The 12,008-nt window shown below is 47.3% G+C and overlaps 1 protein-coding gene and 1 non-coding gene across 2 annotated transcripts; one reads left to right on the forward strand and one right to left on the reverse strand.

Annotated features, from left to right (window-relative positions):
- CLDN24 (claudin 24) lies at window positions 265–927 on the reverse strand. The gene has a single exon (NM_001185149.1). It carries the CDS (start codon window positions 925–927, stop codon window positions 265–267), a length of 663 nt encoding a protein of 220 aa, NP_001172078.1.
- LOC124900894 (small nucleolar RNA U13) lies at window positions 7,799–7,902 on the forward strand. The gene has a single exon (XR_007058536.1). It is a non-coding gene; the product is annotated as a small nucleolar RNA U13 (small nucleolar RNA).
- Window positions 7,903–12,008: the final 4,106 nt, after the last annotated feature.

Here is a 12,008-nt window from a genome sequence, read left to right on the forward strand (position 1 = left end):
ACTGTATTGGACAGCCACCACATTAATTTCAATAACCAGATCAATGAAGCTTGTTTCACTTCTACCTGTATAATGCTTACCATAATCATTTTCTTTTAGATAAAAGATTTTTCCTTCATTATTCAGATTTTAGAGGGAAGTGGGTCTACCTACTGTAGAAAAATAGTGAATGAGAAAACGTGAGCATCACAGGTTTAGCTACAAAACAAAGAGGTCTTTGTCATCACAGTTGATACAGGATACATCTCTGGCCTTGTCGGAGTCTTACACTTGAGGATCTGCTGTCCCATCTTCCAGGTAGGGACACTGAGTTTGCATTTGCGCCACTGCATAGTGGCCCAAAGCTAGGGGAGCGTGGCTGGAGCAGGCTGCGCAGTTGAGCAGACACCCTCCTAGCAGAAGAGAAAGTCCAGCAAACCAGCCCAGAAACAGGGCCTCCCCAAACTCCCACCTGGGGACAAAGTCTGGGACGTTCTCATCCCAGAACTCCTGAACCGTCTTGTGGGCAACCCAAGAGACGGGAACCAGGGCTGTGATTCCCGAGGCCCAGGACAGAATTCCTCCCAGAATGAGCAGTCGCCTCTTGAGATCTCTCTGACTCTCTCCAATTCTCAAACAGTCCAGGCCAAACCCAGAGACCAGCAGGCCCAGAAATCCCAGCCCATTTGACAGAAACATTAAGATCCTGGAGACCCTGAGTTCAGCAGGCAAAGCCAGGAAGGAGTCAAAGTCCTTGCATTGCATCCCCACTTCCTCTTGGATGACACAGGTTTGCCAGAGTCCCATGGTCCAGTTTTCCATTTCATTTAAGTCCAGGTTGAGGTTCTTCCAGTGTGGCAAATAAGTTGTAATAATGGATAAAATCCATCCCAGGAGAGATAGTAAAAGTCCAACAGATTGCATTGCTGTTCTAAAGATTAAAGCCATTGCGACAGGTCTTAGGACTTTGCCACCCCTATAGGATCTGCTGTCCTTTGTGGTTGACGGTAATGTGACAATCTTGGTTCTATGCTGCCTGGAATATAAGCTGTGGTCATTAACTCTTTGGGCACTCTGAAATGCGTTTTTGTTCTTCTTGAATATAATGTTTCACGTAAAGGACGAAGGACTCTGTTAAAACTATGAGTTGGGCTTTCTGATAAGGACTTGATCTGTTACCTTCCAATTTGGTAAAATTATATCCCCAATGCTTGATGATTATAAGTCTAAGGATGAACAAAGAGGGCTCTATGACCCCTCACCCTAAAATACAACAGAAATCTTTGTGCTTCAGTATGGATTAATTAGATTTTAAGTGGTGATAAAAGGCCAGCTCTTTCTACAACAGGACTTCATTGTAAGAGCTGAATCTGAAATTTCAGGGATGCAAAACAAGGTCTTGTAAAGAAAGGTAGACTGTTTCCTATAATCTCTATTCTTCTCAGACTTCCTTAACCTACACAAGAGCCTGGCCCACATCCTCGAGTGTCGCAGGAGCTCAGAGTTGGCAGGAAGGTTCCTCGGATTCCTTTGAAAGGTAGAGGCTGGCTTACGGGACTGATTAAAATGAAAAGGACTGAGGCTGATGCTGGGGGCTACTGAGTGCGGAAGGGAACGTCCCGGGCAGTTCCAGCATTCACTCTGTGGTTTTCTCCATCCTCGTTAAGGACTTGGGGGTAAAGCATGATATCTTAGCGTCCAGGGAGGTGTTTTTTGTCCAGAGCTGAGCTGTCCCCTTGTCATTTCAGCAGCTTACGCAGAGCAACACCAGGCTTCAAGACTCCTGCCAGCTCCCAGACAAAAGTCTCTGGTACAAACACAATAGCCACAATGGAGCTGAACTTCGAGGCTTCATCTTGTTTATTTTTTTGGTTGAGGCCACACCTTGAGAGCATACTTACGCAGAGGGTTGACCCCTCAGAGAACACAGGACCGGCCTCACAGGCCAGGACAAGAGGTCACCTGCCCCAGATTCCCAGGGCTGCACCGTCTCCTCTCCACATGGCCCCTGGGCATCCTGCACCTGCTCAGAGGAGATAAAATCAGATGGGCCCACAGGACAGAAAAGTCCCTAAAGGTGGAGCCACTCCCCTGAGAGGTTCTAACCTGGAGAAGTAGAACCACTGCCCATCACGTTGCAACAGTGGAGTGTAGCCCAGGATCAGAAATTATCTTCTATTGTGTCTCTAAATAGGAGATCGGAGAGACAGAACATGGATCCCGATGTATCCAAATTACTTTGGATAAGATTGCATAAGATGTAGATTTGAGGTGGTACTTTCTTCAGCTTTTCCTATCATCTTAAGTTTAAAAAGAAAAAACTATGCACCAGATGAACTCTTCCTTAATTTTTACAAATTTTCAGAATTCCTGAGGATGTATTGGTGCCCCCACCATCCTGAAATAAGTCATTCCAGGGTGCTTAAAGGTACCTGGATCCAGAGGGCCGGAGACCTGTCTGGGGCCTCATCACCAGTGCACAGGATATGGCAAGCTTGAGCTCTCTTCCAGGAGGCAGTCGGGGTGGTGAAGGCCTGGAGAGCAAGTGGGAAAGATCATAGGGAGATGATTCTTAATATCACAGTGAAACGCTTTTTAAAAACCTAATGGAATAGGCTGCTCCGTGACGTAGTGAGCTCTCCCTGCTGCAGGCATCTAAGCCAAAGGTTATCACCTGCCAAGGTTATCACGGAGGGGATTTCTGCTGTGGTGGGTGTTGGACCTGCATAACCTCTGAGCACCTTCCCAATTCATTTATTCTGTCAGCATTAAAAAAATATGTTGTGGGCTGGGCGCGGTGGCTCATGCCTGTAACCCCAAGACTTTTGGAGGTCGAGGCAGGCGGATCACAAGGTCAGGAGTTTGAGACCAGCCTGACCAACATGGTGAAACCCCGTTTCTACTAAAAATACAAAAATTAGCCAGGCATGGTGGCGGGCGCCTGTAATCCCAGCTACTCAGGAGGCTGAGGCAGGAGAATCGCCTGAACCGGGGAGGCAGAGGTTGCAGTGAGCCAAGATGCGCCACTGCACTCCAGCCTGGGCGACAGAACGAGACTCTGTCTGAAAAAAAAAAAAAAAAAAGTTGTGAGCCCCTCCTGCTGAGCAGGCACTGGGTGCTGAACAGGAGTCCCTGAACCCCTGACCTCAGGTGATCCGGCTGCCTCGGCCTCCCAAAGTGCTGGGATTATAGGCATGAGCCACCGTACCCAGCTGGCAATTTCTATGTATTTTGCTCATGAATGTGCAGCCTGGGACTCAGCAGGGACCACTTGTCTCTGCTCCAGGCAGCGTCAGCTCAACTGGGGGCTGGAGGGTCCCTTTCCAAGATGGGTCACCCACATGGCGGGCTGCCAGCAGGGAGCTCAGCCTCTTTCGTCATATAGGGTACAAAAACCACACAGACAAGGCCACCTCAAGCCAAATGGTAGCCAGATTGCTGCTGTAAGCAGCCCCCACCTCATCAGCTGGCAACAGGAGCCATGGACCCTGGGTCCTGCAAGACAGGGTTGAGGAAGGACGAAAGCAGAGGCCAGAGAGGTCCAGTAAAAGCTTTGGATTCTGAAGTCAGTGGAGAAGCCAAATCCTCCATTGTCAAAATTACCCTTTAAAAATCCCTTAAGCATTGGAGATCAATACACATCTCTCCCCAGGCCCAGCTCGCTGGGGTCTTCTCTGGCAATGAGCAAGGTTACTCTGGGTCCACAGGTTGAGCACAAAATGAAGAAGGAGGCTTAGTTTGGGATCTTGCAGGAAGATTATCTGCTGAATCTGAAGGCAGCAGAATCCAGAGAGGAGGCCAGGAAGAGCCGCCCTTCCTCCTAGCAGGCGCGGGCCTCCCTGGCACTTTGATAAATAGGTGAAGATGAGGGGTTCCTCTTGCTAAACATAGTTTTATCTGATTAAAAGAAAATCTATAGTTTATTTTTTCTTGATTTTTCTTTCTTTTTTTTTTTTTTCTTGGAGACAGAGTTTTGCTCTTGTTGCCCAGGCTGGAGTGCAGATCTCAGCTCACTGCCACCTCCGTCTGCTGGGTTCAAGTGATTCTTGTGTCTCAGCCTCCCATTTTGTTAATATTTCTAATCCTTCTAAATAGTAATTCACACTATTAATGCTATTAAGCTTGTTATTAAGGAGAAGACACGCTGTTACCCTCACAACCCCCACAGCACAATACCTTGTATCTACTATGTGTTCAGCAAATATTTGTCTATTAAATTGATTAGAAGGATCCTTCTAAATGATAATGAAAGTAAATATAGAATGCCAACACTATAGATGCCATTCCCATTGCCAGTGCCCTTTCATCGTGGTGACAAAACCAGCTGTCCTGGAGCGTCTGAACATGAATAATGAACTTAAATAGAAGAAATGAACTCACCATCCACCTAGAGTGGGAGAGGAAATATTGCTGAAGCCTCACGAGTTAGCAAACAAGAGCATCCCCTTCCAGACGGGCATCAAGAATGACATCTCTTAGGTGCGGGAAAAAGACTAGAAGGCTGAAGGCCCCCCAAAATATTCACAGGGTGCTAGAAATGGATGCTTTTTCTTTTCCTTGTTTTGATTTTTATTTTCTAAATTTTCTACAAAGACTGTGCAGGACGATCATAAGAAAAAGAATGATATAAAAGAAAAAAAGATGATCTGCTGGACAAAATTAACTTTCTTTTGTCAGATCATAATAATAGGTAATAGTTATCAAGAGCCTTCTACATACCGGGCACTGTTCTGAGACTTTAACATGGATTATCTCATTGAACCCTCACAATCACACAATGGGGGTAGATACTAGGTACATCACTATTTTACAGACGATAGGGCTAAGCACAATGGGCAAGTAACTTGCCCGAGGTCATGGGGTCATTTACAGAGCCATGGAGGCAGCACCTCAGTTCCTTTCCCAGTGATATGGTTTGGCTGTGTCCCCACCCGGATCTCATCTTGAATTCCCACGTGTTGAGGGAGGGGCCTGGTGGGAGGTAATTGAATCATGGGGGCAGGTCTTTCCCGTGCTGTTCTCATGGTCGTGAATAAATCTTACGAGATCTTATGGTTCTATAAGGGGGAGTTTCCCTGCACAAGCTCTCACTCTCTTTGCCTGCTGCCATCCATGTAAGATGTGACTTGCTTCACCTTGCCTTCTGCCATGGTTGTGAGGCTTCCCCAGCCACGTGGAGCTGTAAGTCCATTAAACCTCTTTCTTTTGTAAATTGCTCAGTCTCAGGTATGTCTTTATCAGCAGTGTGAAAATGGACTAATACACTCAGAGCACAGAAGTACCTGGGGCTAGACCTCTGAGACTATTCTGCACAGTGTTGTTCCAAGCAGAGCTTCTGCACTGAAACCACCTGAGGAGCTTATCCAGCTCAACGTTCGGGTTCCCCACCCCCATGCCTGCAGTGTGCTGGTAAATGTTCAACAGCAACTCTCAGGTTGGTAGCCCTGGATTACAACCTCTGCCAATTTCCATGGTGTAAATACTCTCACCATGGCCAATTCCAGGCTACCAATGTGGAATCACTGAGTATGCAGTGAGTTAGGAAGAGATAATACAGTCATATAATGGTGACTATTTATGGCAATGAGGACACATGCTGAGAAATGAGTCATTAGGCAATTTTTGTCATTGTGCAAACATCACAGAGTGGGCTTACACAAACCTAGATGCTCTAGCCTCCTCCACCCCGAGGCTGTATGGTATGGCCTATTGCTCCTAGGCTGCAAACCTATACAGCAGGTTACTATACTGAGGACTGCAGGCAGTCTTAACACAATAAGGATTTGCGTATCTAAACATAGAAAAGATGCAGTGAAGGCCAGGTGCGGTGGCTCACACCTGTAATCCCAGCACTTTGGGAGGCTGAGGTGGGCGGATCACCTGAGGTCAGGAGTTCAAGATCAGCCTGGCCAACATGGTGAGACCCCATCTCTACTAAAAATACAAAAATTTTAGCCAGGTGTGGTGGCACATGCCTGTAATCTCAGCTACTCGGAAGGCTGAGGCAGGAGAATCACTTGAACCTGGGAGGCAGAGGTTGCAATGAGCTGAGATTGCACCACTACACTCCAGCCTGGGCAACAGAGTGAGACTGTGTCTCAAAAAAAAAAAAAAAAAAAAGAAAAGAAAAGAAAAGAAAAAAGATGCAGTGGAAGTGCAGTATTATAATCTTAATGCACTGCCATATACACAGTCTGTCGTTGACTGAAACGTCAATATATTACATGAGGCTATCTAGATACAATAGCTATAGATAACCTCAAGAACATAGATAATAGTAAAATAATGAGGAAGGGATATGTTTGGAGTGTTCATTTGCTTGTCATATCATAAGTTTATATAATTCAATTTTCAGTGATGGCTGTGTTTACCAACTCACTCCCAGAATTCCTGAAAAATTGACAGCTCTCTGGAGCCGGTGTGAGACAGGTCCTGCACATCCCCATGACAAGCACAGACATTGCACATCCCGGGGAGGGTCCCGGGAGCTGGGGGCAGGACTCTGCAGGTCAGCAAGCTCCTCCAGCTCTTCTCGCACACACTGAGGCTTGTGAGTTTGAGAACTGGGCTATCAGGCTTTACTACCCGGAGCACAGGTCTAAGACCCCTCAGAATCCTCAGCCAAGCCCAGCCACACTGCGGATGCTCAGCCTTTAGGCCATGGAGGAGGCAGAAGGGCAGGCTGGTCTGGATTTTACCAACCCCCCTCCTGTGGTGCCTACCTCTTGATTTTTGCTATTTCGCTCAAGTGACTTGTCTGCAATATAGAGTGGTCCCTTATGTCTTTCTGTTCCAGTCCTCCAAACACCACCAGCTTGGCCTACAAACATTTAGGATGTTGGTGATTAAAAATATATACTGCTTTTGGATTTATAGCACTTACTGGTTACTTGAATTGATCATTTAATTTTATCATTACCAGCCAATCTATTAGTTGAATGCTCCTGAAGCTTTCATCAAAGGGTTTGGGGAAAGAAAAGAGAAAAAAAAAAGTCCAAGTTCTTGCCCATTGGAGGAAAAAAAGAAAGCCAACCAGAGACTCTAAGGAAAAAATATATAAACAAGTATAAACTCATACTTATCTGAAAACTGGGACTTTAAACTTGCAGGCAGTGGCTTCCTACATCAGAGGATCTTTAGGGAACCACCAGCAGAAAGTTCCTCCCTGTGGCCTGACACGTTTTGCCCAGGACATTCAGGGGGTGAATGGAATGATAGCAGGTGGTGGGAGGGGTTCAGCCCAGCAGGACATCACCAGGACAGATCCAGAGGGGTGTGTGCAGACCCCTCCAGAAGGCCTCATTGCTGCTGCCCTGCAGCTCCCAGTCCAGAGGGTGGGGGTCTGAAGACATAAGCAGGATGTCACCTCCACGTAATTACTCTGCTGTGAGTGACTCCAGGGGTGCCCTCAGTCCGATTCGGGTGGTGGCATTTAAGAGAGGAAGTAGGGGAACCCTAGTCAATATTCCCTTGATCTCTGCTTGTGTGTACACTGGCAAGGAGGAATGTGTGGATTTCCAGCAGCAGGAAACAAACCGTTTTCATAGCTGAGTGTGTGGGGGTGGAGTGTTTCTAAAGCCTAGTTATCTCATGTGTCTGTCTTCTGAGGCCCTAACTGAGATTTTATGGCAAACTTTCAAGGTACTAATGCCTAAGAAGTAACAGGAGACAAGGAGACATCGGCTCTCAGTAGTGAAGGGAACATCCTGTCATGCAACAACCAAGGGACATAGGCCAGAATAACGCGTCTCAGTCTGTTCTGTGCTACTGTAACGGAATACTTAAGACTAGGTAATTTATCGGAAATGTATTTGGCTTGATCCTTCTGTAGTTCGTGAGCATGATGATTGGGTGCTCACACACATATGTGAGATGTACCACCCTCAAACCTTGTTACAATGTCAGCACATTACCCATCTGACCTGAAAAAAAAAGAAAGAAAAAGAAACATATTTGGCTCACAGTTCTGGAGGCTGGGAAGTCCAAGACCATGGCACTGGCATCTGGTGAGGGCCTCTGTGCTGTGTCGTGCCATGGCTCAAGGCAGAAGGGCAAGAGAGGATGAGGGTGAGCGGGCAAGAGGGACCCAAACTCGCTTTTATAACCACCCACTCTCAAGATAACTCACTCCCAAGACAAAAGCATTAAGTCCTCCCTGAGTACAGAGCCCTTTTGACCTAATCACCTCTTATAAGGCCCCACCTCTAAACACTTGCACCGAAGATTATGTTTCCAACATATGAACTTTAGGGGACACATTCAAACCGTAGCAAAAGCATAATAATAATAGCCAGTATTTATTAAGCACTTACTGCTTGCTGGGCGTTAGGTTAAGAGCTTTAGCTGTGTTACTGTATTCTCACAAGAACTGTCTGATGTAGACACCATTTTTATCTTCATTTAACAGATAAGGAATCTGAGGCTTAAGTAAGCCAATTAGTTGGCCAAACAATGGTTCAAGGATTGAAGCCTGTCTCACACCAAAGTCTAGCCCTTAATCTTTTATGCTGTATAGAGTGATCTGACACCATTGTCATGGTTGCCTCTCCATTTTGTCCTGAGGCTTTGCTTGCAAAAGTCGGCACTCACTTGGCAAGCACTGTGCCTCCTCCTCGGGCCAGAGTCAGAACCCTGAATGCATCCTCCGGCAGTCGGGGCTGAAGCTGTGGGAAGCACATGCTGGCTTTGTGGCTGTAAAGTTAGAAACTGCTACAGCAGAGGGGCTTGACAGGGAAGGTTATGGGAAATGTCCTAGCCAGGGACTCCATCTCCACCCACTACGCAAATAGAAATGAAAAGACTTCTATTTTGGGATTAACTGGGTTCTTTTATTTGTAAATCCTTTCTAAATATTAATCTAAGCTCCCAACCCTCATGGCTAATGTTTCCTTTAAGTTTCCAGTTAACACATGGGAAAATCATTGCAAATCCGTGACAGCCTTGGCACCTACTCTTGAAGAGGTGGGTGTCTGAGACTCATGGAACCCTAGAGGCAGCCAACACCTCAGGCATCACAGTGCCTTCATTTTCTAGTGAGCTGACGATCAGTGTCGAGACTCTGACCCGGCCTCCAGACTCAGATTCCAGGGCTTCTTCCCCTCTGCTGCGCTGCTGGAATCCACAGCCCCAGCTGGTGCCCCAGCCATCAGAATATCTGCCCTTTTCTCCAGGAGAGAGACTGAACTCCATGCAAACATTAGCCAAACACAAGCCATGTCCTGGAAGGCATGCTGAGAGCTGGCAGAGAGGGGAAGGTGAGAGATGGAAGCGCCTGGCCCTGGGTAGATATAGCAGGAGCACAGGCAGGGCCATGGATGTACCCAATCTGGGGACCATCGCAGGGAGCCCTGGACTTCATGAACAGGAGGACTCTGGTCCTGCTTCCTAGGACGACCTTAAAGAAACATCAGCCTGAAGACTTTGGGACCATCCCAGGCCCAGCCAGGAGTTGAGACATGAGGACTTTCTGGGCACAAAAGTTAAAAATTGAACTTGCACCATCGCCTGAGTCAGCTTTGCTGTGTGCCCTTCTATCTGGAGCACTTATGTTGCACAACTCCAGGGAGCAGCATTTCCATAGAACACAGTGTCAATCCCATCACTTTCATTCTTTCTCTTTAACCAGAAAGACCAACTGTAGAAAAGGTAAGGTGTTGGCCACTCATTCAACAAGCCTTTGTTGGGCATCTAGTGCCAGCCTCAGGGCCAGGCCCTGGTTATACAGTTAACAAAGTAGTCATGGTCCCTGCTTTCATGGAGCTTGAAGTGTAACAGAGTTTGGCAGAAAATACGTATACAATGCCTAAATGAAACCAACTATGGGAAAGACATCAATTGAATACCCACAAGCATCCATGCCCTGGGCTTCCGGGACCTGCGGCCCCCAGCCTGGCAGAGTCACTACCCTCAGACACTCACCAGGGAGAAGTGGGAAATCCCTCCTGAGCCGGGGAAGGGAAAACTCTGCTTCAGTCAGACCTGCCCCCTGAACCTCAAGGAGCTCAGGTCACAGGCTTACAGACCTTTCCAGAACAGTGAGCCTTCCTGGGAACCCATCTAAACAGCTGACCATGTCCCAGAGACTTTAGTGCCGCCTGGAACTCTGGAGGATGTGACGTTCCAACTTGAAGCAGCTCAGGATGTCCAGTACCAGCATGTCTAAGTCTGGGGTGTGGGAGGGGCCGTGGAGGGGAGGCCTGCCGTGGGTCTCCTGTTGACATGCACCTGCGGCCGCCAGGCTCCCGTGTGCCACAAACACAAGCGCTCTTTGCTCTCTCAACAGGTTGTTCCATTCAGGTTTTTTGAAAACAGTGCGCTAACCGGGTCTGAAGGAGGTCTCTCTCTCAAATTCCCCTGCAAAGGAAATCATGGGATTGCAGTGAGACTTTGTGTCATGGCCTTCTCTTTCATAAAATCCTTGTTGTCTGTAATACTCCTGTTTCCAGCTCAGAGGCTGCTCCCAAAATCAACAGACTTCCCACCCAACTGCAGAGCCCGCAGGTCAAACTCCCCCAAAGAGGATACTATTTTACCCAGTTGAGGTAAAAGAGCCTTTGAAAGTCCCCACCTAATACTCATAAAAATGGTCTTATTTCAGAGTTATTACACGGATTTCTCCCTCAAGAGGATGAAACTTTTCCATAAATTAAAGATTAATTTAATGCAAATGGAAGACTTGGCTCTGAGATTAGAAAGACCTGGGTTCAAATTCTGACTCTGCTACTTAAATCTATGTGGCCTCCCTCGGGTGACTTAACTTCTCTGAGCCTGTCACCTAGTCTGTAAAATAGTGATAGTAACTGTGCCAGCATTCACGTGGTGAGACTGGGGATAGCATAGGAAAGTCTCACAACACATAGTAAGCTCTCAATAAATGAGAGTCCCTATTTTTATTTTGGATTTGGTTTTTCAAACCCATTTTCAGAGGCAGCTGTGAAAGTGCATTTCATCTGCGAGTGGGTGGTTTGTTGTGGTACACTGGCTGAAACAGATGCCCTTTTCCTGTCTTTATGCAACTGGATGCTTCTAAAATTCTTTTTTGTGCCATGGAAAAGGCTTGCCTGCCCATGGATCGCTCTTCCTCCTCCTCCGACATGAGCGAGTGCTTCGTGCTTCTCTCTCTAGGCTGCTCCCTCCCACACTGTACCGTCCATGGCGTTTGTGCTGAGTTCTCACTTTCCTTCAGACTGAGAGGATCAGATACCCTGGTCAGTGACCGTGGTTCCGGTCCACCTGCTCGACCTGGGGCTGCGGCAGGGAGGCTGGATTCAGAGGCAGTGTTTCTTGCCAAGTTTCCCTCAAATCCTGCTATGGGAGAAGAGCTGTGGGTATTATCAGCACAAAGATTCCCACCAACCTTCGCTGGAAGAAAAATATAATTTCTAAGAGGAGAAACACTGAATAAAGAGATTGTATATGTGAAATACTTTGCACCTGTATCTGAATCTTTTCATCCATCCATCATCCATCCATCCATCCACCTATTCATCTATCCATCTGTCCTCCCATCCATCCATCTGCTCATCCATCCGTCCGTCCATCCATCCATCCATCCATCTGCTCATCTGTCCACCCATCCATCCATCCGTCCATCCATCCATCTGTCCATCCATCTATTCTTCCTGCATTACGTATCCTTGTGTTGAATTCCTGTAATAAGCACATCACACACAGGGGATCAGGGATGGAGAAGAGGGGTCCTCTCTGTCAAGTAACTCACAGAACGTTCAAGAAGGCAGACGAGGAAAGAGGCAACTGCAATACCGTGTGACAAGCGTGAGGTGAGGGAGGAGGGAGTGGGAGAAGATACTGAGCACTTGGCTAGGACACGTAGCCTGTGCGGCACCACCAGGGAGGCTTCCCAAAGTTGGTAATTTTTCATGTCCATGCAAAGCATGATGGGAGCCATCAGAATTTAATGCCACGCAGAGAGGAGGGAACGGACAACACAGGGGTAAGGAACAGCATGTGCGAGGCCCAGAGGCCACAGCAGATTCCCAGGCTGGGGGCCAGTGGCAGCCACAAGGCAA

The sequence above is a fragment of the Homo sapiens genome, chromosome 4, assembly GCF_000001405.40.
Source record: "Homo sapiens chromosome 4, GRCh38.p14 Primary Assembly".
NCBI classification, from domain to species: Eukaryota; Metazoa; Chordata; class Mammalia; order Primates; family Hominidae; genus Homo; species Homo sapiens.

Coding starts and splice junctions, on each gene's coding strand:
- CLDN24 (NM_001185149.1), bottom strand. CDS start 927: ATGGCTTTAATCTTTAGAACAGCAATGCAATCTGTTGGACTTTTACTA.